Source organism: Homo sapiens, chromosome 5 (genome assembly GCF_000001405.40).
Source record: "Homo sapiens chromosome 5, GRCh38.p14 Primary Assembly".
Lineage (NCBI taxonomy): Eukaryota > Metazoa > Chordata > Mammalia > Primates > Hominidae > Homo > Homo sapiens.
In genome coordinates, this window is record NC_000005.10 from 138330428 (window position 1) to 138356811 (window position 26384).

The window sequence follows — 26384 nt, forward strand, 5'->3', positions numbered from 1 at the left end:
TTTCAAAGACTTTTCCCAGTTATCACATCATTTGATTCTCACAAGATCCTAGTAAGATAGGAAGCGATTATTATTTCTTTGTCTTTTCTTTTCTTTTTGAGATAGAGTCTCACTCTGTTTCCCAGGCTGAAGTGCAGTGAGGCGATCTTGGCTAACTGCAGCCTCCACCTCCCGGGCTCAAGCAATCCTCCCACCTCAGCCTCCCGAGTTGCTGGGACTATAGGTGCACACCACCACACTCAGCTAACTTTTAATATTTTTTGTAGAGACGGCGTCTTGCCATGTTGCCCAGGCTGGTCTTGAACTCCTAGACTCAGGCGATCCGCCCTCCTTGGCCTCCCAAAGTGCGGAGATTACAGGCATGAGCCACCTCGCCTGGCTGAGATTATTTCTTGTCACAGAAAAGAAGGTGAGACTCAAAAGGGTTACACAGTCAAGGGCAGAGTTGAGACTTAAAGCCTGACCTTTGAGCCGGGATAATTGAAAACAAACCAACAAACAAACCCAACTGTTTGGAAATAGCAAAGGCAATACAGTGTAAAAATAAAAGTATATTTACCCAGACAAAATGCTTAGGTTTGCAGAATCACCAAGAAATTTGCCCACTGGAGTTCTAGGGACATCTGGACAGACGGTAAAGGAAGTGTCTCTCTCCAGGAGCAGGTTTAACATTTTCCTTTGATTAGACCTAAAACTGGGTCCTGAGCCAGAGCTTCCTTCCTCTCTTGTGGATGAGAAGAGTTCCGTAGACATGGTCTTCGAATTCTCACCAGGAGAAAAACAAAACCTAGCTAGGAGGAAAACGTCATCTAAATCGGTACATCACAGTTCCCTCAGCTTTCCTAAACTCCTCCACCCTTTCCAGCCAGGCGAATCAACACTGGAAGAGGGGCAACCCCGAAGGGTGATTCACAGCCTGGCTTAAGGTTAGAACCTGAATTCACCGACGAGAGGCAACCTTAGGACCTTAAAGATGGAATGAAGAGAGGATTTTGACTTGTTCCACGCCACACAGCTCGAGACTCCTGACTAGAAAGAACCCGGGTCTCGTAACTCGCGATAGTCCCCATTCGGCCCTCCCAACCTCTGTCTGTGGGGGCCCGACTGGACCCTAAGGGGGACAATGGGGTCTCCGTGATTCCGTGGCGGAGACGGCTGCGGACTTACCTCAAGCCTGGAGTCTGAGGCTTGCCTACAAGAGGAGAGAAAGTAGATAGGGATCGGACACAGGCGAAGACTTGAGCAGAATGAAAGGAAATCTAGGGGAAAGGAGGTAGTTAACTAGATTGCAGCTCTGCCTTCCGACTGGGTAGGCCAACGTCGGACTCAGAGTCTTCCCTGAGCAGAAGGCCAAAGTTACGGCCTCTGAGCAAGAATATCAACAGCCGCAGGCGTTGACCATTCAAACCTTCCGCCAGCCCAGTAACCTATCCCCGCTCGCCTCTAAGCTGCGTCAGCCAATCTCCGCGCGCGCGCCCAGGGCCTCATGGCCTATCGTTGGGCTCGCAGATCACCTGGGGGCGTGTGCTTGCTCTGGAAATGGTAAGACTTGCCCCGCCCCATAGCCAGAGCAGGATAGTGTTTGGCCCACCAGCGTTAGGCAGGCTGCGGGGTAAGCTCCGCCTCACGGGGAGCCTGGCGCATCATTGGCTCTCCCTCTCACCAATCTCCACACCCTTTCTGTTTTCCTCGTTCCCTCAGCCCCACGAACCCCGGGAGATTTAAACCGCGCCTTACTAGTGATGTCCATTCACTAGGGTAATACTAGGAGAGATTATTTTGGGTGGAGGGTGTTGTAAGCGTTTCATTTTCTTCGCTTCTTTCTCGTGCCGTTTTCGCGGACGTTTTCTTCTAAGTTTTGCTGGCCTTCCACGGGAGATGGAGCGTTTGCTGCCGGCGTGGCAAGTGTTGGGGCGAGACGGGTGTGTGTGTTTATGCTGAGAGGCATTAGCCCCTTCCAAGAGCTTTGTTTGGTGTTTCTTTTAGTGTGCAGCATCTCAGAGACTCTAGCTCACGTGGGTAAAAAGAAATTCCGTTGCAGGGAAAGTGGAGGAATTAAATCATCTTGGTATAATCCTTATCGCAATCCAGAGGACCTCAAAGATTGGTTATTAATGAAAATTTGAACATTGACGAGGTGATATTTATAAATTATTGGCCGGACGCGTTGGCCCACACCTGTAATCCCAGCACTTTGGGAGGCCGAGGCGGGCAGATTACATGAGGTCAGGGGTTCAAAACCAGCCTGGCCAACATGATGAAACCCCGTCTCTACTAAAAATACAAAATTTAGCCGGTTGTGGTGGCACACACCTGTAATCCCAGCTACTTGGGAGGCTGAGGCATGAGAACTGCTTGAACTCGGGAGACAGAGGTTGCGCCACTGCACTCCAGCCTGGGCATTAGAGTGAAACAAACAAAAAGACATTCCTAATGTTAGGGATTTGCTTTTAAATAATCCTGTGCTGGGGGAAGGTATTGATGATACAAGATTGACCCTGACTGTTGAGTGATGGGGGCAGGAGGGTCCATCATATCTGTGCTTCTCAAGGTTTAATTTGCACACTAACCACCTGAGGACCTGCTAAATGCAGATTCTGATTCGGGATGTCTGGGTTGCGGTTGCGGCCCAAGATTCTGCCCTTCTAACAAGCCCCCAGCTGATGGTGAGGTAGCTGGTCCTACGACCATACTTTGCGTGGTAAGGTATTACCCCATACTTCTTACTTCAATGTATATTTGAAAATTTCCATAATAAAAATGTTCAAAATAACCTTGGAAGCTCTTTAAGATGTAGGCTCCAAAAACGATAATTCGATAGGTCTAAAGTGGGGTCATTATCAAGGCCCCCAGGTGCTACCCATGCAGACGGCTTGCAGATCATGCTTTGAGAAACAAAAGTCAAAATGCAACTTGTGTCTGTTGTCAGGATCTTGGTGGTGGTAGTGGCTGAGAGGCACAGTGTAGCCAGCTGGTTTTTATCCTAATACCCTTTTCATCTGCAGAACCTGCTTCCCCAGAAAGGAGATGTGTGAAGATTCTTTGTCCTCTAGGATACAGACAGTGAGTGTAGGAGTTAGCACAGAACCTTGCTATGCCAGGTGAGTTTGAAAATCAGGCTGGGGATTAAGGGAGTGTGGGATGAGTTGTTATCTGCTTTGACGACTACAGTATAATCACACTTTGTGGGAAATTGTATACTTCCCTGCAGGTGGGAAGTAGAGACAAAGTTATTCTCTATTGGTGGCAAAAGCAGATAGATTATGGCAAGTGCACACCTGGCTACCAGTGCTTTCTGCACCAGGTCCTCAAGTAAGTGCAGTTGTGGGTGGTCACAACAAAGGTGTCAGCCAAGTGGCTTTAGTTCAATGTCAGGTGATGGAAATATACTAAAATCTGAGCACTCTGACAAAGTTGCAGCATTCCTAAAACAAATTCTCCAAAAATCTAGCCCCAAAAATAAGTTTCTGAGATTTCTCAAATGGAACTTATACACCTAGCTCTTAAGAGTATTTTTTTTTTTTTTAAGATGGAGTCTCGCTCTCTCCCGGGCTAGAGTACAGTGGCGCAATCTTGGCCCACTGCAACCTCTGCCTCCTGGGTTCAAGTTATTCTCCTGCCTCAGCCTCCCGAGTAGCTGGGACTACAGGTGCCCGCCACCACGCCTGGCTGATTTTTGTATTTTTAATAGAGGTGGGGTTTCACCATATTGTCCAGGCTGTTCTGGAACTCCTGACCTCAAATGATCCACCCACCTCGGCCTCCCAAAGTGCTGGGATTACAGGCATGAGCCACTGCGCCCGGCCGCCCTTAAGACTTTTTACAGATGCAGTGGTGCGCCTGTAGTCCCAGCTACTTGGGAGGATCACTTGAGCCCAGGAGTTTGAGGCCAGCCTGGGCAACATAGTGAGACTGTCTCCTAAAAACAACAACAAAAAAACTTTTTTTTTTTGAGACAGTTTCTTTCTTGTTGCCTAGGCTGGAGTGCAATGGCGCAATCTCAGCTCACTGCAACCTCTGTTCAAGTGATTCTCTTGCCTCAGCCTCCTGAGTAGCTGGGATTACAGGCATGCGCCACCACACCTGGCTAATTTTTGTATTTTTAGTTGAGACAGGGTTTCGCTGTGTTGGCCAGGCTGGTCTCAAACTCCTGACCTGAGGTAATCCACCCACCTCGGCCTCCCAAAGTGCTGGGATTACAGGTGTGAGCCACCATGCCCAGCCAACAAAACTCTTAAAAGCTCTACGTTTGTTAATGAGGTTGTTTTCCTAGCAAACATTTTCACTATCTCCTCATGATTCCAGCTGGCTTAGCTAATTGCAACATACTTAGCTAATTACATGTAAGTTTACATGCATACATACAAACTGTGAAATGGTAGAATTATTTTAAAGGGAAGTCAAATATTGTCTTTTATATCTTGATTTATGAGGGTGTTGGAATATATCTAAGTTATCCTTCCCAGAAGAAAGAATATTAGGGAGGTGGGAAGTTTGGTGTTTAATCTGATTTGAAGATTTACTTTTTCTGTTGGATTGAGGGCATTGATCCTATGTCATCCTTGGGGAATCCCTATCTAGGCTCCTGATTCACTGTGATAAGCAGTGAGCTGTGTTCCTTCACCTTGACCTCAGTCTGACTCATACATGTTGTTGCCAGGGCACAGTGACAGCCCGGGCTTCACCCTGAAACACCAAACAAGAACAGGAGGTACAGCCATCACTCCTGGGATGCCCAGATCAGGCAGTGGAGAAGAGCCCTGCATTCCTGGGATCCTCCCAGCCAGCCTCTGCAGGGCAGAGGGGCTGAGGGGTGTGTTTTCTATTCCTGGTTCTTTTTATGACTGGTAGGCTTAGCCCTACTTCTCCCCACTTTGCAGAGGTTTAGCTTTCACTGGGTGAAAAGGGAAGGTCTGAATCGAGTGCATGTTCCTCCAACTCGGCTGTTCCTTCCTAGGCAGGGAATGAAGAGTCTTAGAACCAATGGATTCCACTCCTTTGGATGACCTCCTGGATGACTGGCTCCAGGCCCTGGAGCCCTCAGAATATGGATGGAGAGTATCCTTTGCTGAAACCCACTGGAGCAGGGTCACAGATGGGGTTTGGCCCATGAGGGCATAATTAAGATGCAGTTCAAAGCAGTGGCTCAAGAACAAAAGACTAAAAAGGGGGCAGCAGGGAAAGAGCAGGACATGAGTAAAAAATCCTTGGGAACTAAAAGTGGAATAAGGAGATTTAATTATGGGTAGGAGTGTTGGGCTGCACTGGGAGGCCATTTTATAGATGACGAAAGGGGATGTAACCTTCCTTTGAAATGAGGCCTGAAACTTGACTTGCAGGGTTTTTTTTTTTGTTTTGTTTTTTTTGTTTTGTTTTGGGTCTCAGTTTCTTTCAATGTTTTGCAAATGAGCCAATGCCTACTTTTAACTCAACCATTTAATTCATAATAATTAAATTATTAATTTAATTAATAATAAAAAGGTGAACAGCTTAGTGGTGAAAAGCAAGGGCTTTTAGACTGCTTTTTGAGAGTACCTTTGCCTACCATGTGGGCAGTCACTTAACTTCTTGGGCTGTTTCATTTGTCAAAGAGAAGGTTTTGTTTCATTTGATGATTGTAAGAAAAAATGAGAATATATATCAAAGTATGTAGGTCAAGTGTGGTGGTTCACACCTGGAATCCCAGCACTTCGTTTTTTGTTCATTTGTTTTTTTTTTTTTTTGAGACAGAGTCTCATTCTGTTGCCCAGGCTGGAGTGCAGTGGCACAATCTCGGCTCACTGCAATCTCTGCCTCCCCGGTTCAAGCGATTCTCCTGCCTCAGCCTCCCGAGTAGCTGGGATTACAGATGGGCGCCACAATGCCCAGCTAATTTTTGTATTTTTTAGTAGAGACGGGGTTTCACTTTGTTGCCAGGCTGGTCTCGAACTCCTGACCTCAGGTGATCCGTCTGCCTCAGCCTCCCAAAGTGCTAGGATTACAGGTGTGAGACACCACGCCAATCCCAGCACTTTGTGAGGCCAAGATGGGAAGATTGTTTGAGGCCAGGAGTTTGAGACTACCCTGGGCAACATAGCAAGACGCCTCTCTCTACAAAAATAGAAATAAATATGCTGGGCATGGTGGCACACCCCTGTAGTTCTAGCTATTCAGGAGGCTGAGATGGAAAGGATTGCTTGAGCCCAGAAGTTCAAGGCTGCAGTGAGCTGTGATCGCCTCAGTGCACTCCAGCCTGAGCAACAGCAAGACCCTGTTTTTACAAAAAAAAAAAAATGTAGCATGGTGTCTGGTACATAAGAGCAATTATTGGAAACCATGTGTCCCCTACTTCATGGCCCCTAACTCTGCTCCTTTTGCCAAGGGGAAATAAGCAGTGCAAGGTAAATCTTTCCACCCCTATTTTCTCAGTTAGTACTGTACCTCATTTTTCCTCTACTCTTTTTCAGTTTGTAGACTTGGTGGCTCCTGCCTCCTCCCCTCCCTGGCTCAGTGAGGACGACCCCCGCCACTGGCTCTACTTTCCAGCTGATCACAGCTATTTACCTGTCCCAGTCTTGAGTAAGGCACAAAATATTTACAGAAAACAGATGTCTTTCAGAGGACTTGCTGCTAAGTGTAATAGTGAAGATTACTTGCATTACTGCTACTTTCCAATCAATTAAAAAAAAGAAATAGAAAACTTTGTATTACAAAGAGATCACAACACGAACGCATTGTTTAAAGCCTCTCCTTTATCCACTTTTTTGCTTGTCTCCCTAAACCATCTGTGATGCTAGCTGAGACTCGAATTTACATAAGAGCCAGAAACCATCAACCCAACCTCTTCACACACTAACGTCTACATTCAATCTCTTTAAAAAAGACTTAAATTTTGGCTCATGTGGGAGGTGGTGGTAGTGGTGGAGACTTAATAAAAGGTGGTTTTGTCTTCCTGAAGTGGAAATATAGCGCCGTCAACATCTTTTCCCCATCTGCCTGTTTCCTCCTTCCCTTTCTGTTTAAGGAAAGTCTAACCACCGCACTTCTCCCCACCTCCCCGCACCTCCCCCCAGGCAAACGCAAGCAACTGAACCGCCTATGATGTCATAATCACAATCCCATTACCTCATCCTGCTGGGGGGGAGGGGGCGGAGAGAGAAGAGAGGGAGTGAACAGCCCTGGGCTATCCTGAGCTTTACAAAGTGTTCTGGGTGAGGGCAAATTACAGAACCAAGTGGAAACGTCCCCGCAACCATTATAAGTCCTGGGTTTTTAAGGTTCAGGCCGATCCGGCAGCTGCAAGAGGGGCTCCTGGGACTCCGAGCAGGCCCTAATCCGCGCTTGGACCACACTTCCCAGCAGCCTTCACGCCGCGGACGGGTCCTTTGCTGGGGGAAGGGGGATTCCTTCGAAGAGGTGGTCGTGGAGGGCGGGGCAGCAGAGCAGGTGAGGGGCACTGTGGCTAATTGCGTGACGCGGCCCGAACCGAGTGGGAGGCTGCAGTTGGGCCGTTGGAGGGAGGGAGGGCAGGGGCGATGCCTTTGTTTACCTTCTTCCGACATGGCCTCCCCCGCGGGTTTCAAGATGTGCCTCCAACTGGGGCCGTCCACTTTCTGCGATATTTTGGAGGGGGTGACTCGTTAGTGAGGAAACCACCCCCATCCCTAAATCAAAGCGCCAGGCTCGTTCCCAACAGCGCTGTCCGAGAGACACTTTGAGAGAGACACGACACGGAGCTGCGCCCTCCATGGGTGGCTTGGGGGGATTCTGCGAGCCGGAGCTGTCCCCCTACTCTCCTCAGGGACTCGTTGGTTCGCGCCAGCGCCTTTTAAGGGCACCGTGGGGCGAACCGAGCGCTCAGAGCTGCTCCGGCCGCGGCCCTGGGAGCTGGAGGAACCGCGGTAGGTGGTGGAGGGCAGGTGGCGCTGGGGCCTCGGGGCGGGCACCTCAACCGTCCCTCCCTCCTTCCCTCTTTCCCCTCCCCCAGCCCGACCGCCCGCGCGGCCGGGCCTCGCTGGCCGCCTCTGCGGGGAGAGCACGGGACCCGGTGGGGGAGGGGGTGGCGGAGTGCTAAGTCCCAGACCCTCCCCATCCCCTGCGTCCTGAGTTCGCTTCCCGCGGCCAGATGATGGAACCTAGTGGGAAGAGGCGAACGACAGCCCCCCTGAGCGAGCCCTGGCGCACCCCCCCCCCCGCCCCGGGGACCAGCGGACGCCCCATGCCCCACCCCGCGGGGACAGGCAGGGCAACAGAGGGAGAGGTTGAAGATTGGAGGGGCCTAGCCTTTTGCTTCTTCATGGGGGTGGGGGGAGGGGTGTTCCCCACTTGTCACCCCTTTCCCCACCAGAACCATATGGAAGAAGAGCAGGCAGATCTCCACCTACCTGTTCATGCAGCTCCCTGCCTTCCTCATGTTTTTCTTCAGTCTCCCCAGGAGGTGTGGGGCTGGGACCTGAGGGGAAGGTCCCCAAAGGGTTTGTGACTCTCCTCCCTGTTGGCCTGACCTGATCCTACCTTGTCTTGGTACAGCACAACCTCAGCATCCCTGAAACAGGAGTGTCAGGGGTTACTGCCATCCAATAGGAGATGGGGTGGGGGTCTGATCTTTATTTTTGGGGGCTGCTGGTGGAGGGAAAGCCTGGACTGAGAGTTAGGTCTGGTGGGGTTGCTGAGAGGGCCTAGCGGCCTGCTGCTCTGTGAAGGGCTGAGCCCCGTGCCAGTTGTTAAACTGAGAAGTTTTAACTTGTTTAGTGAATATTCAGGGCTGTCTCTACCCTTCAGATACACAAAATGGAAGGGGAAGGAAGGCGGCAAGAGAGGGCTTCTTACACTTTTTTCAATGCCTGCTTGAGAAAGAGGAGGCCCCTCGCGGAGCTGGTTTGCCTTCTTTTGTGTCCTGGTTTGATTCCTTATGGCTTCCGTTCTGTTCCCCCTCGCAGCCTGGCCTGTTTTAGGAAACTCAGGCTGAGAGTATCAGTTGCGTGGTGGTAGTTGCATTGTTCCAATTACCACTGTGTGTGGCCACATCCCAACAATTAAAATGCAGAAAAACACAAATTCACTGTCTTGACTTGATCCTAGAGGTGGCTGGGAGTTTGCTGTTTGTCCAAATGCCTCATGAAAAGCTGGAGAGTTTGCTTCATTCCCTGCTCCTCATAGCTGGTTAGCCTGAGGCCTGGGGTCTCTAGGGTAAAATCCTGCACTTAGGTTCCCTCTCTGGTTGATCTTTGAGGGCAGCAGAGTTAAGAAACCAAGAGCAGAAGTGATATAAGCTTTAGCTTCTCCCGTAAGAATATAGGGGAAGCAGCTGAAGAGAGCTCCCCGGAAGCTAGAATTTTGTTCAGGGTGGTAATAATTATGCATGAAAATGATAGTTAACTGTAATGATGATTGACTTCTCTTGCACCTTTCTTCCAGAGAACTCCAGGTACATCCAGGTTTATCTCTTTGCTCTTCCTTGTGCCCTCCTTCTAAGGTGTGAGTGGGGTAGAGATAATTCCTCTTTTTTGTAGAGTGATCTGCCCCCAAGGTCACAGAAGGAAGAGCCCTCTTGGGCTTTTCTTAGTGTGCAGGTGAGGGAGGATGGTATTCAGCCAGAGAGATGGACCCTATTGCCTTCTTCATCTTATTGATTTCATTACTTCTGACATTCTGAGGCCTTGAAGATTCACAAACGGGAACGAGAAATGGTAGTCTGTGTGGACTCCTGATTTTTATAGGTCAGATGGTACATTTTGTACATTTTAATATGTTATATTGTTCCTGTGACAGGTTAAGATTATTCTGCCCACTTTACATATGGGTAAACTGAGGCCAAGGAGTATTAAATGATTTGTCAAAACTCTTAGCAAATTGGATTAATAATTAGATTTCTTGATGATTTGTTCTCTTGACTAGCTAATGCTACACACATTCTCTGGTAAGCTGTCAGCTTGCTGCTCATTTCCGGGAATAGATAGAACAAAATCAAGACACTGGCTTAACCTCCCCTTTTCCCTTGAGCAAGGCCCCTCAGGTAATTGTGTGGGCTTGAAGCCTGTTATCTGATACAGTTAGTTTGCTTCTATCAGAAGTTGACCACGAGAAAGAATCTTGGTTAACTGTATCCATGGACTTTGCATCAGATGAGGCTAAAAACTTAGTTGAACAGTCATGGAGTTGTTGTTTACGACGTCTGTAGAGTTGAAATGTATTGGAATTACCCTGACCATTTCTTTATCTTCCCATTTGATAAGAAAACAAACACTGTATCTATTGGAAAACAATAATATATCAGATGTTTAGGCTGTGGGAGGACATAAAATCCTATGTACTCAGGTCTAAAGCAGAAAGTCTTGCCTACAACCACTGTTCTTCCTTGTTCTCTTATTACTATTTCTGTAGTTTAGGAGAAGGGTACCTCTTTTCACTTCTGACTGGAAGATAAAATACTGGGCTGATCTTGATGGAAATAATCATTTGGGCATCCCTCTCTCTCACTTGAGCAGCTGTTTTCTAAGTGGTGCTGGTATTCCAGTTAGAAACAACAGAGCATGAACCAGTTTAAGGGTAGCAAATAAGTTTCAACTTGATTGCCAACTCTATTTTATTTCATATCTGGACTGCCAAGTTCATAATTTCTGAAGCTGTGTTTAGGCTTAGCTGGAAAGAGCTGTGATCAATTGATGTCTGCCAGAGGCCTGGCTTAGGGGTGCTGTGGTATGTGTGCCATGCATTTTCCATCTCTGGACCAGGTGCATCTCTAATATCACTTGGGGCTGGTCCCTCTAATTGGCAGACTCAGCAGGCATGACTGGAGAGGGAAGTCCCAATGGTGCTAGAATGGTGCTGCAGTGGCAGAAGACGGCTCACAAGTGAGGTCTGGAAGAACAACAGGGAAGACATCCATCATTTGCTCCAAAGTGTGCAAGTCAAATCCTGGGGAGAATCATGATAACCCTGATCACTGAGCAGCTACAGAAGCAGACTCTGGATGAGCTGAAATGCACACGCTTCAGCATCAGTCTGGTAAAAGACCAGTCTTCCTGCTTCTCCACGACCCCCTCCCCCTTTTTTCTGAGGCTGATTGTTGCTATTACTTTACTCTTGTCCTGTGCTGTATGAATCATGGTACTTAACCTGGAAGAGCCCACTAATGGCTCAAAACCCAGCCCAAAAGGAAGGGGGCAGGGATTTTTCCACCGATAGAGAAGGGACAGCAAAACTTGGGTGGAGAAGGGTTTGAGATGTTGGAAGATGTGGATTGTTTGACTTACTAACTTTGGGAAGACAAGAGGAAGAACACTTAATGTCCCTAACATCCCTGTAGCTCATGAATCGCAGAGGAGAACTGAAGAGGGCTTCCTAGAAATCTGTCAGTGTGTCCTGAATCCAAATCATGATGGATATTCTCTCTTTCTTAGCCTTTGCCTGATCATGCAGACATCTCCAACTGTGGGAACTCTTTCCAGCTTGTGTCTGGTAAGGCATCGTGTGTGTTTGTGTACGTGTGTGTACCCATTCCTCTCTCCACACATTTCTATCATTGGTTTCCAGTGACCAGGGCTAGCGAGCCTACCTCTAGAACCTTCTTGCCAGGGTCAACTTCTGAGATTGACAGTTGTCTTTCATGTTCTAGCATGAAAGTTATCTGGTTGGTTTGCTCTTATTCTAGCTTTGTGGGGACTTGTATAATCTAATTTTTTGAATAGGTAATACATTCACATGGTTCAAAATTTAAAAAATAACAACAAAAAGGTTATGCTGAGAAAAGTCTCTCTTACTCTCCCGTTCCCTATCTACCCAGCTTCTACCACCTCCCTAAAAGTATTAGTTTCTTATACAGTATATGTGACTAGAATTTCTTTATATAAAAAGAAGCAAATGTATATATTTATTTCCTTTCTTTTTTAAGTTCTCGGATACATGTGCAGAACGTGCAGGTTCGTTACATAGGTGTACATGTGCCATGGTGGTTAGCTGCATCTATTTTATTTCCACGTTTTTAACACAAAAGGTTGCATACTATATATTATTTTGTACCTTTAAAAAAAAAAATGGGACCGGGCCTAGTGGGTCACACCTATAATCCCAGCACTTTGGGAGGCCAAGGTGGGCAGATCACCTGAGGTCGGGAGTTCAAGACCAGCCTGACCAACATGGAGAAACCCCATCTCTACTAAAAATATAAAATTAGCCAGGCGTCGTGGCGCATGCCTGTAATCCCAGCTACTCGGGAGGCTGAGGCAGGAGAATCACTTGAACCCAGGAGGTAGAGGTTGCGGTGAGCCAAGATTGCGCCATTGCACTCTAGCCTGGGCAACAAGAGCAAAACTCTGTCTCAAAAAAAAAAAAAAATTGCTGGGCACAGTGGCTCATGCCTGTAATCCTAGCACTTTGGGAGGCCGAGGTGGGCGGATCATGAGGTCAGGAGTTCGAGACCAGCCTGGCCAACACAGTGAAACCCTGTCTCTACTAAAAATACAAAAATTAGCCTGGCATGGTGGTACACACCTGTAATCCCAGCTACTCGGGAGGGCAAGGCAGGAGAATCACTTGAACCCAGGAGGTGGAGGTTGTGGTGAGCCCAGATCATGCCACTGCACTCCAGCCTGCACAACAAAGCAAGACTCCATCTCAAAAAAAAAAAAAACAAAAAACAAAAAAAACTTTAATATAGCTAGGAGATCTTTCCCTATCAGAATGCTGAGTATTCATTCCCTTGTTATATATAGCTACATATTATTACACTGCATAGATGTACAGTGGCTTATTTAATGAGTTTTCTATTGATGTGCATTTAGGTTATTTCTAATCTTGTTTGGATACATAAAACTGTAGTGGGCCAGACGTGGTGACTCATGCCTGTAATCCCAGCACTTTGGGAGGCCGAGGTGGGCAGATAGCATGAAGCCAGGAGTTCGAGACCAGCCTGGCCAGCATGGTGAAACCCCGTCTCTATTAAAAATACAAAAATTAGCTGGGCATGGTGGCAGGCGCCTGTAATCCCAGCTACTCAGGAGGCTGAGGCAGGAGAATCCCTGGAATCCAGGAGGCGGAGGTTGCAGTGAGCCGAGATCGCACCCACTGCACTCCAGCTTGGGCAACAGAGCGAGATTCCATCTCAAAAAAAAAAAAAAGAAAGAAAAAAGAAACTGTAGTGAATAACCTTGTACATATGTCATTTTTTCACATGTGAAAATATATCTGAGGTATAAATTCGTAGATTATTAATTACTGAGTTAAAGGGCCCCTGATCGTAGGGACATTTAGATGGAGGCATCACTGGTGGACAATCAGAACTCCCTAACTCGTGCTGCTCAGCAGTTCTGCATCTCATTTTCTTTTCTGGGATACCTAGCAAGGGAAGTGAGTTGGCAAAAACATGTTCATTCAGTCTCTTCCTCCTGTTTATTAAAGACTTGCTGAAAGCCAGGTATTGTGTCATAAGTATAGAGCAGGAACTCATGGTCCCTGCCCTCATAGTGGTTAGTAGAGGGAAGAACTATAGACCAAATACACTCAGTATGAATTTTGCCACCATCAAGTCTGACTTCGTATACTTGTCGTTTGCCCCAAATATCCAGCCCCTGCAGAATTCCAGCCAGCTAGCCAGAGGAGTTTGGATTAGGCCCTTTGTCCCTTAATGAGCCGTCTCCCAAAAGTCACAATTTTGGTTGGAATACAGTGAGTGAGGATTGTTTCTTTTAGTCCATTTTCCCTTCCTTCTCTTGGTCCCTCCATCTGTTTGGATTTAAGAGAAGGCCTAGGGGAAGGGAATCGGAATATGTGGGTGGCCAGACAGAAACGAAGATGAGCAGCACAAAGTCAGGGTTTCCCAAGCCCAGGTTTCACTGTCAAAGGCCTTCCCCACCCTGTTTGCCCTCCCTAGGAATAAAAGTGATCTCTTACCTGCCTGATTACCTCTTACTTCTTGGCAGTCCTAACTCCTGACTTGGTGCTGTTGACACATGAGAGGAGGAAAGGCCGAGAAAGAAGAGCATAGGCCTGCTTTTCAGCATCCAGGGCAAGCGTGGGGGAGGGGCGAGGGAGAGATGAGCAGGACACTCACAAACGTGTTTGTTTCTCTTGACTTCTTTTACCTTTGAGAGGGAGTGGCAGGCAGTAGATGAAATGTTTTTGATTCCAGGTAGTTGGTCACAATGGAGGCAATAGAGCATAGTGGTTTAAAAACCTAGCCTTCGCATCAGACAGACCTGGATTTGAATCCTCCTTTGGTCTTTTGAGTGCTATGTGATTTTGGGAAAGTTATTGAATTTCTCTTATCTGTGAAATGGGGATAATGATAACGATACTACCTACCTCATAAGGTTTTTGGAAATTTTCACATAAAATGCTCCATACATTATGTGGCAAATGGTAAGTTCTTAAAAAATGTAAGCTATCATTAATATTATTCTTATTATAAATGCCTTCCAGAAGGTGCTTCCTGGAGGGGCCTGCCCCACTGTTCCTGTGCTGAGTTCCAGGACAGCCTCAACTTCAGCTACCATCCCTCAGGCCTGAGCCTGCACCTCAGACCACCCAGTCGGGGAAACTCCCCCAAGGAGCAGCCCTTCTCCCAAGTCCTAAGACCTGAGCCCCCAGATCCAGAGAAGCTTCCTGTGCCCCCTGCCCCTCCATCCAAGAGGCACTGCCGCTCACTCTCAGTGCCCGTGGACCTGTCTCGCTGGCAGCCGGTGTGGCGGCCCGCCCCCTCCAAGCTGTGGACTCCCATAAAGCACCGGGGCAGTGGTGGAGGGGGTGGGCCGCAGGTGCCTCACCAGAGCCCCCCAAAGCGGGTCTCCAGCCTCAGGTTCCTCCAAGCTCCCAGTGCCTCTTCTCAATGTGCCCCAGCTCACAGACCCTACAGCCCTCCTTTCTTCAGCCTGGCCCTGGCCCAAGATTCCTCTCGACCCTGCGCCGCCTCCCCTCAAAGTGGCTCCTGGGAGAGTGATGCTGAGTCCTTGTCACCTTGCCCACCTCAGCGCCGCTTCTCCCTGTCACCCAGTCTGGGCCCGCAGGCAAGCCGCTTCTTGCCCTCTGCCCGGAGCTCTCCCGCATCCTCCCCAGAGCTGCCCTGGCGACCTCGAGGTCTCCGCAACCTTCCCCGAAGCCGCTCACAGCCTTGTGATCTGGATGCCCGCAAAACTGGGGTCAAGCGGCGCCACGAGGAAGACCCCCGGCGTCTGCGGCCTTCGTTGGACTTTGACAAGATGAATCAGGTGGGACCAGCAAGACTAGGGGAGCTTAGATGGGAGTGTGGGGACTGTTCTGTTTCCACTTTTGAGCTAGCCCCTAGCTTCATTACCCTGCCGCCCCCACCACCAACAGCACCTCCTTTAGCTCTTAGCTAGGGTGACCTACCATCCCAGTTTGCCTGGGACTGTCCCAGTGTTAGCACTGAAAGTCCCCCCATCCTGTGAAATGCCTTAATCCTGGGAGTTAGAGAAACTGGGGTGAGACCCATGTTAAACCTTCCAACAGAGATCCCAAATTGTCCTGCAAGAGGTACTTTCCCTCCTTTCCAAGAATGCACAAGCTGCAAAAAATTCCATCAGTACCTACTCCTTGTGCCCAAAGCTGTTTTTGCCACTTGCCTGTCACTGCTTCAAAGTGGGTCTGTGAGGGCTGAAGCAAGATGGGCTGCTACAGTGTATTCATCTGTTAGACAAATGTTTTTTGACTTCCTGGTGTGAGTACAATTATTGTATGTATGCACTTTGCTCACTTTTTTCATATTATTCTTTCTAGACCACTAGGTTACAAACCTCTTTAAGAATTAATTAATTTTTTCATACAGTCGTCCATCCCATCTGCAAACATTTACTGACTCTGACTAGGCACTGGCAGTACAAAGTAATGAAACACTGCAGATGATGTTCCTGCCCTCACGGAGCTTCTATTCTTCAATTCAATGGAAACAATGGGCTCCAAATTTTGTCAGAAAGTTTACAAACGCCAGGCATGGTGGCTAACGCCTGTAATCCCAGCACTTTGGGAGGCCAAGGCAGGCGGATCATGAGGTCAGGAGATTGAGACCATCCTGGCTAACACGGTGAAACCTCGTCTCTACTAAAAATATAAAAAATTAGCCGGGCGTGGGCCGGGCACCTGTAGTCCCAGCTACTGGGGAGGCTGAGGCAGGAGAATGGCGTGAACCCGGGAGGCAGAGCTTGCAGTGAGCCAAGATCACGCCACTGCACTCCAGCCAGGGTGACAGAGTGAGACTCCGTCTCAAAAAAAAAAAGTTTACAAACCTCACCCTAAAGAATTCTTGCCTTCAGGTGTAACTGTCTTCTTTGTTTGTTTGACAGAAACCATACTCAGGAGGTCTTTGTCTCCAAGAAACAGCCCGGGAAGGCAGCAGCATCTCTCCACCATGGTTCATGGCCTGTAGCCCCCCACCCCTCTCTGCTTCCTGCAGCCCCACTGGGGGTTCCTCCCAGGTGCTGAGTGAAAGCGAAGAGGAGGAGGAGGGGGCTGTGCGGTGGGGTCGGCAGGCGCTGAGCAAGCGGACACTGTGCCAGCGGGACTTTGGGGACCTGGACTTGAATTTGATTGAGGAAAACTAAAACTGAGAGGCTACTTCCTGGGGCCACACAGACTGACTCTCTCATGGCTACTAACAAGTGTCGAGTCCCCAAGGCTGGGGGCCGAGCCTGGGAATGGGGGTGAGTGGAGGGCTCCGACTCAGGGCAGCTGGAAATCTTCTCGCTCCAGCAAGCTCGACCATGCCAAGAGACTGGCCGGGACAAGATAAACGGAGCTGGTGGCGGGAGGGACAGCCCCAGAGCAGACCCTTCCTATGGCGGCCCTGAGTGTGAGTATCCCTGCCACCAAGAGAGCAATGGGCAGGGAAGGAAGGGGTCTGCCGACCCCAGCTCGGGGAATTTCACTAGCCCCTTTGCTTCAAAGGGCACTTGTGTCTTAGAATTTGGCCAGGGTGGGGGGTTGAGTCAGCCTCCTCAGAGAAACTGCGTGAGAGTGTGTGCGTGCATGGGAGTGTACTTGTGGAAAGGTGTGTTTGCGTAGCCTTAGGGAAGGAAGGCAATTGCTCCTTAACAGCAGAGTATCATGATACCCCCAGGATCTTGAGTTTTTTACAGGATGTTGGGTTTGCTCAAGGAGTCAAGAGGAGGGCACCAAGTTTTCCTTTTTTCTAAATAGCTCTGGAACCAGGCTTGTAATCCATAGCATCACCGACTCTGCAAAGGATTTCATTTTGGGGTACAGCAGGGTGTTTTAAGTGCTGTGACTTCAGCTAATGATCTTTTCTTCAGCCCCACCCCCTCCCCACTAGCTCGATCTAGTATATTGGGGAATGCAGGTGGGGGGTGTCACCATATTTTTTCTGAGCTGGCCTTTTTTTCTCATCAGATTGTCCAGGCTATATTCCACCTGCCTCTTTTGCCCTCTTGAGTAGAGTTGCACACAGCACATGGGCAACTGAAGCAGGGTTGAGGGGCTCTCTCTCTCTCTCCTCTGCTGATGGGACCCTTTTCCCCTCACCCTCTGCCCTTCTAAGTCATAGACTAGGTAGGAAGGCCCTATATTGGTCCCCAGCATCTACTGAGGCAGACCTGCAACAGAAGTGGCATTCAGTCCCCAGCAGACATGGGTGAGCTCACCCCAGCACTGCTGTTGGGAAGGTGACTGCAGGAAACCAATTCTTACAAGATCCAGGCCCAGCCTTTTTGACCTGCTTGAGAGGGAAGAAGGGGTGTTTAGCATTTAATAGTTTGCTTGTCTTCCACTCCTGCCAGGAAGTGTTTATTTGCCTCTAATTGGGCCTGAGAGACCATAGGGAGGTTGGGGCTCACTGAGGGATTGGCTGAGGATGTATAAAGCAAAGGCTGTGAGAAGCAGTTGGGAGTTTGGTTGTCATTGGATTGAATTTACTTTTTTGTTTCTCACCCGCAACTTGAGCCAGGACAGCTGGTCCAAGTGGCCACAGTGATGGGTTTAAGTACCTTGGTAGGGCTGGCACCAGTGGAAACACATACTGAAGCTGCCACCACAATAGCTTGTGAGGTTTTATCCAGCTGTGGTTAGACCCTGCATGACCAAATTTGACCTGCCCTTGTTTATGGCAAGAAGGGCATTTTTCTCTTCAATTTCCAGGGTTTCCTAGGACCCAGTTCCTCATGTAAGGGAGGAAGACCAAGGTCTTTGTGTTTTCTTCCTCATGGAATTGAACCTGACATTTTCTGGATCTCCTGCATGTCAGGAGCATCAGTGAGGCTTCAGCCTCCTCGTCTCCACTCCAGAGAGGAGGTGGCTATGTCTTCTTAAGCCTCTGGCCCTCAGAGGCTCCTCCCTATCTCCTGGCTAGTTACCACTAGGCTACCAGGTCTCTAGGGGCCTGAGAGAGGCCCTCTAGAGAATCCAGGGAAACTGTGAGCCCAGGAGTTGCCCATCTATGGTTTCATTCCTCCCCTGGCTCTTCTCCCTCTTCAGGCCATAATTTCCCTGGTGCCAATTTCTTTTCCTCCTGGGGCATCCTCATCCCAGGGCTCTCTGCTGTAGATTGGCTGTGCCAGCTTCCAACAGGTTACTGGCAATGCCAGTGAGTTTCTGTAGGCCCTAAGCTGAAGAAGTGAGGCAGTGATTCTGCCTCCATCCTGGTTTCCCCAAAGCCCCAGGGCACCATCCTTAGGGGAGAAGGTCTACAGTTATCATTATTTTAATTCCATTACTTTCAGTCTGGAAAACTAAGCTAGTCAGAACTGTCATCTTGCTTCCCAATCTAAGAACCTGTGGCCCTGGAACACTTTTCAAGAATTGGTTCATTTTGCTTTACACAGTAGATCTGTTCCAACAGTTCTGTGTAAACCAAATGCTATTTTTCAATGCATTTGGACTGCTGACCATTTAAAAGCAGCCTATGATTGCTTCTTTTTGTAAAGCAAGCAACCTCCCTCCACTTTAGCTGTTTTGACTATTTGAATTTTCACATATTGGGCTTACCCAGAGTGGAGCACACCTCCAGGGCATGTGGCTGACACTGGGTCAATGTCTGCATCTGTGCTGTGTGTGTAGTGTGGTTGGCCAGTAGGTGAGTATCCCTGTGTGTGTGAGTGAAGCCACTCCCCAGGCTGGTGCTCTCCTCCTGTGCCCAGTGACTGCCCAGTGGCAGCTCAGCTGCCCTTCACTCCCACCTGCTGCCAAAGTCCCTGTGCTAATGGGATTACAAATACAAAAAGTGGAAAAAAATTTTCGTAAACTTTGTTTTATATTAAAAGAAAAATCCATAAGTCTGTGTGTGTTAAACATGAGGTTCTGCCTCTGTGGCTGTGTTTGAAAAAATAAAGTTTTATTAGAATAATCCATTTTCCCAAGCAACCTTGTGTACTACAGTGTCTTCTTCCCTTCCCCACAAAGACAAGGAAGAAGCAGGGTAGAAGGCCACCTAACTGTTCCAGCCCCTTCATCTAAGATGTGGGTCAACCTTTCAAAAAGGGGCAGTATTTGGACCCTAGGCCCTTTGCCGGCCATGGCAGGATGTTATACTGTGGCCCAGGCTTCTGCTAAGGCCTTGGTTATTTTTGGCAGTCTGGTTTGGTCTCTCTTTCCCTGGCAGTTATACTTGTCTCCTCCTGCCTGCTGTCACTCTCACTTCCAGCAAGTTGAAGTCAAGTATGAATGCATTCCAGCTCCCTGAGAAATGGTTTATGGTACAGTCAGGAACTTGTCTAGATTGGTTTGTAGGCTTTGGGAAGTAGGGAGAAGGCAGGGTGGGAGACAGCCAGGGATCTTTCTTAAGTTTTCACATGTTACATCCTGGAGAGATAGAGGTTTAGTCATCAGAATTCAGATTCCATAGACCTAGGCAATTTTTCCATCCTAAAAATACTGCTTTTGGAAAATAATCCTAGCTGCAAAGCTTCTCTTTTGTTGTAGAAGACAGTATTTTCCCTAATGTTTCCTTTGGGAGTGTTGGTTTGCCAAAAGAAGCTATGTGGCTCACTCTTTAGACCTTTCTGTTCCACCCTTTCTTCTCTCTATGTTGACATTCTTCCAATGTGTGTGGGTGAAGTGTAGTTGCTTAGAGATCCAGGCAGGAGCCTCTGTCTCTAAGGCTTAGCCTTTCTTTACCAGTTGTGGTGCTAATTTGCCAGGCAGCAAGAAGAGTCAAGTTGCTTAGCTTATGTCCTGGTTTCCTGCTTCAAATTGGTGGCACTCATCATTGAATACCAATGAAGTGTGTGCAGGACAGGACTGACTTGACTACCTGGAGCAGGAATCTTTGCAGGGGTGCACATACACCCTAGAAAAAGTGAGGGTTGTCACCTGCCCTGGAAACAAAGGAAGGGCTTTGGGGAAGTGGTGGGCAGTGGCATGTGGTTAAAGAAGCTTAGAATTACAGGGTTTTTTTTCTTTAAAACTGATGTTTCATTTCACCTACTGCTTGAGCAGGGGTAAAGTTTGAACATCTAAAATGACTTTGTTTCCCCCTTTTTTTCTTTTGAGTTTATTTTTGTTGGATTTTTCTGCTATTTTCTGTGAGGCCAAGTGTGATTTTATTTTTCATTCCTGAAGTCTTGTTAATATAGGAAAGAACGTAAACTCCATGAGGGCAAGAGTTTTGTTTTATTCAATATTGTGTCCCCAACACTTTGGGAAGTTCCTGGCACATGAAAAGTGCTGGTCACATTTGTTGAATGCATTTCCCTTTTGCCTTTCCCATCCGTGAACTTAGGTACATTTCTGTCTCTCTGCTGTGAGAAACTAGCCTTGGACATTGGGGCAGTAGTTAAATCTCTGTATGGGAGAAAATCCCAGCAGATAATTTTGATAGAAAAATTGCAAGGCAGATAGATCTTGTATGGATTCACCCTTGTTCCCCTCCTACCAACTACAGCTTATGGGCCATGTGCTTTAAGAGGTGGCTCTCAGCCCAGAAAAACATTCTGAGTCAGGCCTCAGGTTGGCTGTGGGAGATGGAAGTTAAAAAGAAGTGGAGGGAGGAATGTTTCCTTGGTGCTCCACAGGGTTGGTTCTAGAATGATTTTCCTATATGTTTTATACTTTAGTAAAAGTATAAAGTCAATAGTTGGTTACCCCTCTCCCCAAGCCTTTGTTACAAGAAAAGTAGGTCAAGGGTGTAGACAAGGTTATGGACAGGAGATAGCTGGGGTAGGCACAGAAGCCTTGGAGAAAGAACCAGCTACCACTATTTCCTGTCTGTAGGGAAAATCAAAAAGTCACTTTTAGAACAACAGTCATGGGTTATTACTATACCCTTTATCTTTTGTATCCATTTTGTGTATACTCAGTCTCTGCATCCATGAGACCATGGAATGTGCTAGTCCCTGATATTGCCAGCTTTAAATGATTGAGGCAATTTCCTGTTGCTTATTGTGGGTAACAATCTAGCCAAAAATCTCAGCATCTCACTTTCTCTGCAGGCTCCTTTTCTAATCAGGAGCTATCAGTCTCCCACACCTGTATTAAATGCATTCAGATAAGAGTTACAGAATTTTCTTTGCCCCCAGCCCCACTAATTCCATGGTAAGATGGAGTGCTACTAAGAGAACCCCTTTACTGTTGGTCTATTTCCAGTTCCCCTAAGAGTTGAATGGAGAAACACGTAGACTTAATAACATTGGCAGACTAGGAAGGGGAAGAAGTTAGGTCGGTTTTAGGAAAAACACCAAGATGTTGGGGGGCACGTTGGCCTTCAGTCAGTGGAAAGAGTGGCATTATACATCCAATGGAAGTAATACATTGGCCAATTGGAAAGGAACCTAAGAAGTGCTGGCAGTATAGAATGGGATGGTGCTGTTATGGGCCATTGAGAAGGAAGACATTGTGTCTCATGGACCAATGGGGAGAACATTTCCTACAAGACAGCAGGTAGGAGCTCATATTTTCAGGATAGGAAATCAATGGGGGTATTGGAGACACTAAATAGCTCAAAACATCCACTCTCTAGGTACCTTGCCCCTCACCCCCTTACCCCGTAAATGTCTTTGGTATCCGAGGAGAGCAAGCTAAAGCCCTCTCATATATACGACTCCCTGAAGGAAGATTGAGACCAGGGATGATGCCATGGGGAAGCTGAAGGACCCGCCCACTTCCCTACCCCGGCCGGACCTGCAATTCCCCTCCAGACCGCAGGGGGCACTGCAGGCCCCGGGGAGATTGGGGCGGAGCGCTGCGAGGGGCCAGGAGCTGTCGCCCCGCTCCAGAGCGCGGGGGGCGCTGTGCGGGGCCCAGGCTGCGGCTCCGCTCCCGGCCACGGGGGGCGCTGCGCTGCGCCGGTGGTTGGTGGTGGCTGTTGGGGGGGGTGGGGGGGAACGGCGGCCGCGGGTGGTGCGGAGGGAGGCCTTGCGGGCGGATCGGGCGCTTGGCGGCGGAGGTGGTGGGAGGCGGCGGGCGGGAGCGCGGGTCAGGCCGGCCCCGGCGATGGCGGACGCGGCGGCCTCCCCGGTGGGCAAGCGGCTGCTGCTGCTGTTCGCGGACACTGCGGCCTCAGCCTCGGCCTCGGCTCCCGCGGCGGCAGCGGCGAGCGGAGATCCGGGGCCTGCGCTGCGCACTCGAGCCTGGCGGGCCGGCACGGTGCGGGCCATGAGCGGGGCGGTGCCCCAGGACCTAGCGGTGAGTGGCGGCCGAGTCGGGCACTCGAGGCCGGGGCTGCGGGGCCTGCGGGCGGCCTCCCCGGGGGCCTTTGTGAGGGGGCGGTGGGATGGGGGTGACCCATTTCCGTGCCCCCGGGTCTCCTTAGCGCCCCCCGCCGGCACCTCCGCACCCCGAGCGCTTGCCGGCATGGCTTCCGCGTCGGGGTGTGCGCCCCGGTTTCCCCCGGGGGGCGGCCAGGGCGTCCGGAGCTGCTGCTTGCAGCCAGCAGGCCCCGCCTCCTGGGCGACCCTTTTCTCGGCGTTCCCCCCAACACGCCTTCGGAGCAGGCTCTCGAATCTTGAGCTCCCGGGAGCCTCAGAGTTCGGCCAGTGTTGCCGCTGCCCTCTCGAAGACGCGGACCTGTGGTCCCCAGCCTCTCCCAGGAGACCTGCGCCCTGTTCCTTTTCTCCCAGAGCCCCAAGTGGGGCGGGAATGTGGGCAGTTATGGGAGGCACGGAGGCTGCAGTTGGAGCTGGTCGGGGCTTTTTTATCTGGCAGTTACTTCCTCATCTGAGCTGGGCTCGGCCTGGCGGTCTCCAGAAAGGCCAGCTCTCGGCACTGTCTCGAGCTCTCCTCTCCTTTCCTTAACGCTTCTGGGTGACAGGAGCTGCAGTTGTGGCTGTTTTTGTTAAGTTTGAGATCTTTCTTAGTGGCCGAACGGGGCTGCTGGGTAGTGCTTTTTGCTCCCAGCTCAGCTACTCCCCCAACCTTGGGAGAGGTTTTGTTTTGAAACTTTGTGTTTGGGCTTGGCCCTTTTTGAATGCCTTGGTGTGTTTTGTGATTAAAGTTGTTCAGTCATACAACTTAACTAGCATTCGGGATCATGATGTGTTATTCTCGTTAATGTGGCGGTAAAATATAGTGTTTGAGTTTTGGCAAGCCACTTTATTTCCTCATTTTGATAGGGGCCCTAGCTTCTCTGGTGAGATAAGGCTATGAAAAATGGTGTGTGTGCGTGTTGGGGCAGGGGGTGGTCTTTTGGAATGTAATAGATCAGCAAGCAGAAAGTAAATTTTCTTGATGAACTTGCTTTTGCAGATATAAACGGGAACGCAGTTTGTGAGATTTGGAAGTAATGTTGTAGGCTTCCGATGTTCATTTTTCTTCCTATTGATCAACGGTGTTAGACTGTCCTTTTTCACTAATATACAAGCTTTATGGATTTTTTTTGTGGATGGCTTAGGCTTTGCTTCTGCTACTTGGGTTCATTTGCTTTGATTTTTCTTCATGCTGTATAAGAAACGTTACTAGGACATTTATAAGGCCTCAGTGGGGCAAATTTGCAAAAAGATACTAAAAATTTAAGGGGATGGAATGATGATTAAGACTGGGATTTGGATCTCTATTCCTCTGCGCTTTCTTTAAAAGATGGCTGGGATGGGAAAAGAAGTGTCCATTTCAGATTCATTCTACCACCTTGGAGGCAAAACATACTTAAGATCCACTATTATATGCATACTTTGACCGAAGGCCTACTTTGCCCTAGCTATTCATTGGGATTTTTTTCTGGTTCTTGCAGTGGTCGTCTCGTTTCCTCCATCAGATGAATTGCTAATGAGCTCTGCACCTGAAATGGCTCCCCATTCACTTTGTCGTTTGCTGTGCTCCCTAAGGGCAGAGGATTTTGGAGCTCACTTCCTTGCTGGACACCCACTAAGCTAAATACTGAATAATTTTACCACTGATCCCACGGAACTGGGTTCTCAAACCAAGTAAAAAGTTGCAGTGATTCTTGGAAATTAAAGCAAAGAACATTACAGCTGTGTTGAGGTCTTGCATAGGGCTGTGTGAATGTAGAAGCAAAGGCAGGTTTGTATTTTGAGAATACATTTATGCTTGTCTTACATGTATATCCAGGGACATAGATGAGAAAACAGCCAGACCAAAACTCAGAGCCTTTAGATTTTTTCACCAGCTTGCAAAATTGTTCAAGAATTGGTATTTTGTTGAGGTTCTATTAATGACAATGACCAGTGTAGGATGAGAATGGGCCGTTTTCTTTTTTTCTCATTAAGAGAGATTTCCTTTGGACCGTAGGCATGTGGACCTTTCCAATTTGCACCACACACGGTAGTAAACACAACTGTCTTCCAATCAAAAGTGTTCTTCCCGTACTCAAGGGTGGAGTTTGCAAGCAGCTGGCCTGTGATTGGGCAGATTTTCATTCAGTTATGTTTAAGATGTTTTCAGGCATGCTTGGTTTTGAGTAATGCCTAGCAGGGCGCCCCCTTTTAAGGATGAGTAATTGAGGGTTGGATGAATGAGTTTCTGAAGTGATTGAAAACACACTTCTTAATTTTAGATTCCACGAATACATCTCTTTCTAAATACTTTTTGATTCAGATATCCTATAAAATACAGTACTGATCCATTAAATGAAACCTTTTTTGGAAAACAGTAACAAAGCCAAGTGCTACCTTAAGGTGAGATGTGAAAAAAAGGAGTCAGGATCCTGTTGATTGAGAGTTTTGTTGATAAGGTTCTCATAGGTGGACATCTTCACCAGCAGAAGCCATGCTGACAAATTACTCAGATGTTTAGCCAAGGCATGAAAACAGCTTTTCCCCCACTTTCTAGTGGAATAGTAATTTTATTTGTGTTTTAAAATGGGCCTTTTATTTTTTTAGAATTAGTTTATGGGTTGTATGCATTTATCTCTGGCTTTTCTTTCCTAATCTGGTGTCCTCTTTGTGTTCCTAAATCATTATTGGCTCATGTAAGTTGCAGAGACCTTGGGACCGTCACGTATATGGGTATTGTAGATAAAACAGACCAAAAAAAGAAACCCATGGATTTTCCTTTTTTTGGTTATAAAAGCAAAGCTTGTAATTTGCAAAATGTCAAACAAAGGTTTACACAAGAAAAACCAGCAATCTCTTTGCTCATCTTTCTTAATGCTAGTACAAAAAACATGAAAACATTCAACCGTATACAAAGAGTTCCCTCTTTTTTTAGCAAATGGTGTCCTACTGCACAATATTTGCACCCTGCCTTTTTTTTCTTTCATTTGACAGTATACCATGGGGATCAATACTTACAGATTTTACTCATCGTTTTTGGTAACTACCTTATATTCCATAGAATGGATGTACCATAATTTATTCAGTTATTCCTCCTGTTAATGGACATTCAGGTTATCTAAAGTTTTTTTGGCAGTATAGACAATGCTGTCATTAATATACTTGTATACATATTTTTATGTAATCCAGGTTTTATTTCTGTAGTTTAGCAATCCAGGGTTGAAATGGTTCGGTTAAGAAGTATATGTATTTTTTATTTTATTACATAATGCCAGGTTATTTTCCAGTAGGTGTATAGCATTTCCTACTCCCACCAACAGTACTCAGGGTGCTTGTTTCTCTTTACCCTTGCCTTCACTGGTATCATCAGTCTTTCTCATTTTTGCCAATCTGATGGGTGAAAAACAATATCCATAATTTTCATGACTATTTGTCCTTTTTTTCCATGTGTACTGGCTTTTTCATTTCTTTTATTTGTTACTTATGGATATCTTTTGCTCATTTGAGAAAAATAGGAGTTGTCTTACCACTCTCTGCAAGTTCTGTGCATGGATATTAACTCCTTCACCTGCGTAGTGGGTTGTATTTTGTTTCACTTGTCTCTTGACTTTTTTTTTTTTTTTTTTTTTTTTGAGACACAGTCTCGCTGTGTCACCCAGGCTGGAGTGCAGTGGCTCCATCTCAGCTCACTGCAACCTCTGCCTCCCGGGTTCAAGCGATTCTCCTGCCTCAGCCTCCCGAGTAGTTGGGACTACAGGCGTGTGCCACCACGCCCAGGTAATT

At 48.0% G+C, this 26384-nt stretch overlaps 3 protein-coding genes and 1 long non-coding RNA gene across 26 annotated transcripts in view, besides 12 other annotated features; 3 read left to right on the forward strand and 1 right to left on the reverse strand.

Annotated features, from left to right (window-relative positions):
- Positions 1 to 7928, reverse strand: part of CDC25C (cell division cycle 25C) — a 53091-nt gene extending 45163 nt beyond the window's left edge. For 5 of the 17 annotated variants that reach the window (XM_047417953.1, XM_011543761.3, XM_011543760.3 and 2 more), the window contains exons 1-2: positions 7529 to 7914; positions 560 to 787 (exon numbers count right to left, since the gene is read on the reverse strand). In XM_047417953.1, coding sequence (XP_047273909.1) covers positions 560 to 787; positions 7529 to 7728 — 428 coding nt within the window. In that variant the 5' untranslated portion in view covers positions 7729 to 7914. Of the gene's footprint in view, positions 1 to 559; positions 792 to 1167; positions 1451 to 7528 lie in introns of those variants that run through there. The other 12 variants (NM_001364028.1, NM_001364027.1, NM_022809.4 and 9 more) reach the window with 9 other exon arrangements.
- Positions 535 to 1488: an enhancer, noted in NCBI's record as "H3K27ac hESC enhancer chr5:137666651-137667604 (GRCh37/hg19 assembly coordinates)". NCBI's record gives its function as "activates a minimal SCP1, AML or CMV promoter by ChIP-STARR-seq in naive H9 embryonic stem cells {active_cell/tissue: H9 hESC(naive)}" and the evidence as "EXISTENCE:reporter gene assay evidence [ECO:0000049][PMID:30033119]".
- Positions 1200 to 1329: an enhancer, noted in NCBI's record as "active region_23197". NCBI's record gives its function as "activates an Ori minimal core promoter by ATAC-STARR-seq in GM12878 lymphoblastoid cells {active_cell/tissue: GM12878}" and the evidence as "EXISTENCE:reporter gene assay evidence [ECO:0000049][PMID:35858748]".
- Positions 1340 to 1389: an enhancer, noted in NCBI's record as "active region_23198". NCBI's record gives its function as "activates an Ori minimal core promoter by ATAC-STARR-seq in GM12878 lymphoblastoid cells {active_cell/tissue: GM12878}" and the evidence as "EXISTENCE:reporter gene assay evidence [ECO:0000049][PMID:35858748]".
- Positions 1440 to 1699: a silencer, noted in NCBI's record as "silent region_16389". NCBI's record gives its function as "represses an Ori minimal core promoter by ATAC-STARR-seq in GM12878 lymphoblastoid cells {active_cell/tissue: GM12878}" and the evidence as "EXISTENCE:reporter gene assay evidence [ECO:0000049][PMID:35858748]".
- Positions 1678 to 6719, forward strand: LOC100128966 (uncharacterized). Its single transcript, NR_146628.1, has 4 exons — positions 1678 to 1758; positions 3006 to 3101; positions 4958 to 5058; positions 6447 to 6719. It is a non-coding gene; the product is annotated as an uncharacterized LOC100128966 (long non-coding RNA).
- Positions 6989 to 7068: an enhancer, noted in NCBI's record as "active region_23199". NCBI's record gives its function as "activates an Ori minimal core promoter by ATAC-STARR-seq in GM12878 lymphoblastoid cells {active_cell/tissue: GM12878}" and the evidence as "EXISTENCE:reporter gene assay evidence [ECO:0000049][PMID:35858748]".
- On the forward strand, positions 7130 to 19302 carry FAM53C (family with sequence similarity 53 member C). Of its 4 annotated transcripts, none has more exons than NM_001135647.2 (5): positions 7130 to 7425; positions 10757 to 10986; positions 11382 to 11439; positions 14398 to 15182; positions 16275 to 19302. In NM_001135647.2, the coding sequence occupies exons 2-5, from the start codon at positions 10909 to 10911 to the stop codon at positions 16530 to 16532; spliced, it is 1179 nt and encodes a 392-aa protein (NP_001129119.1). In that variant the 5' UTR covers positions 7130 to 7425; positions 10757 to 10908; the 3' UTR covers positions 16533 to 19302. The 4 variants fall into 4 exon arrangements, with proteins under 4 accessions (NP_001129119.1, NP_057689.1, NP_001337123.1 ...); NM_016605.3 differs by lacking the exon at positions 7130 to 7425 and adding an exon at positions 7839 to 7880; NM_001350194.2 differs by lacking the exon at positions 7130 to 7425 and adding an exon at positions 7839 to 7880 and having other exon boundaries at positions 15031 to 15182.
- Positions 7239 to 7718: an enhancer, noted in NCBI's record as "active region_23200". NCBI's record gives its function as "activates an Ori minimal core promoter by ATAC-STARR-seq in GM12878 lymphoblastoid cells {active_cell/tissue: GM12878}" and the evidence as "EXISTENCE:reporter gene assay evidence [ECO:0000049][PMID:35858748]".
- Positions 7799 to 8148: a silencer, noted in NCBI's record as "silent region_16390". NCBI's record gives its function as "represses an Ori minimal core promoter by ATAC-STARR-seq in GM12878 lymphoblastoid cells {active_cell/tissue: GM12878}" and the evidence as "EXISTENCE:reporter gene assay evidence [ECO:0000049][PMID:35858748]".
- Positions 8199 to 8288: a silencer, noted in NCBI's record as "silent region_16391". NCBI's record gives its function as "represses an Ori minimal core promoter by ATAC-STARR-seq in GM12878 lymphoblastoid cells {active_cell/tissue: GM12878}" and the evidence as "EXISTENCE:reporter gene assay evidence [ECO:0000049][PMID:35858748]".
- Positions 21958 to 22037: a silencer, noted in NCBI's record as "silent region_16392". NCBI's record gives its function as "represses an Ori minimal core promoter by ATAC-STARR-seq in GM12878 lymphoblastoid cells {active_cell/tissue: GM12878}" and the evidence as "EXISTENCE:reporter gene assay evidence [ECO:0000049][PMID:35858748]".
- Positions 22058 to 22297: a silencer, noted in NCBI's record as "silent region_16393". NCBI's record gives its function as "represses an Ori minimal core promoter by ATAC-STARR-seq in GM12878 lymphoblastoid cells {active_cell/tissue: GM12878}" and the evidence as "EXISTENCE:reporter gene assay evidence [ECO:0000049][PMID:35858748]".
- The window catches only part of KDM3B (lysine demethylase 3B), an 84343-nt gene continuing 80216 nt past the window's right edge, over positions 22258 to 26384 (forward strand). For 2 of the 4 annotated variants that reach the window (NM_016604.4, XM_005272018.5), the window contains exon 1: positions 22258 to 22560. In NM_016604.4, coding sequence (NP_057688.3) covers positions 22369 to 22560 — 192 coding nt within the window. In that variant the 5' untranslated portion in view covers positions 22258 to 22368. Of the gene's footprint in view, positions 22561 to 22719; positions 25005 to 26384 lie in introns of those variants that run through there. The other 2 variants (XM_047417313.1, XM_011543489.3) reach the window with 2 other exon arrangements.
- Positions 22378 to 22847: a silencer, noted in NCBI's record as "silent region_16394". NCBI's record gives its function as "represses an Ori minimal core promoter by ATAC-STARR-seq in GM12878 lymphoblastoid cells {active_cell/tissue: GM12878}" and the evidence as "EXISTENCE:reporter gene assay evidence [ECO:0000049][PMID:35858748]".
- Positions 23098 to 23197: an enhancer, noted in NCBI's record as "active region_23201". NCBI's record gives its function as "activates an Ori minimal core promoter by ATAC-STARR-seq in GM12878 lymphoblastoid cells {active_cell/tissue: GM12878}" and the evidence as "EXISTENCE:reporter gene assay evidence [ECO:0000049][PMID:35858748]".

Bases quoted from the DNA above. Each gene is read 5' to 3' on its own strand.
- FAM53C (NM_001135647.2), top strand. From the start codon at position 10,909: ATGATAACCCTGATCACTGAGCAGCTACAGAAGCAGACTCTGGATGAG. The intron at 11,440-14,397 runs GTAAGGCATCGT...AATGCCTTCCAG, and splicing joins CTCTTTCCAGCTTGTGTCTG to AAGGTGCTTCCTGGAGGGGC. The intron at 15,183-16,274 runs GTGGGACCAGCA...TTTGTTTGACAG, and splicing joins ACTTTGACAAGATGAATCAG to AAACCATACTCAGGAGGTCT.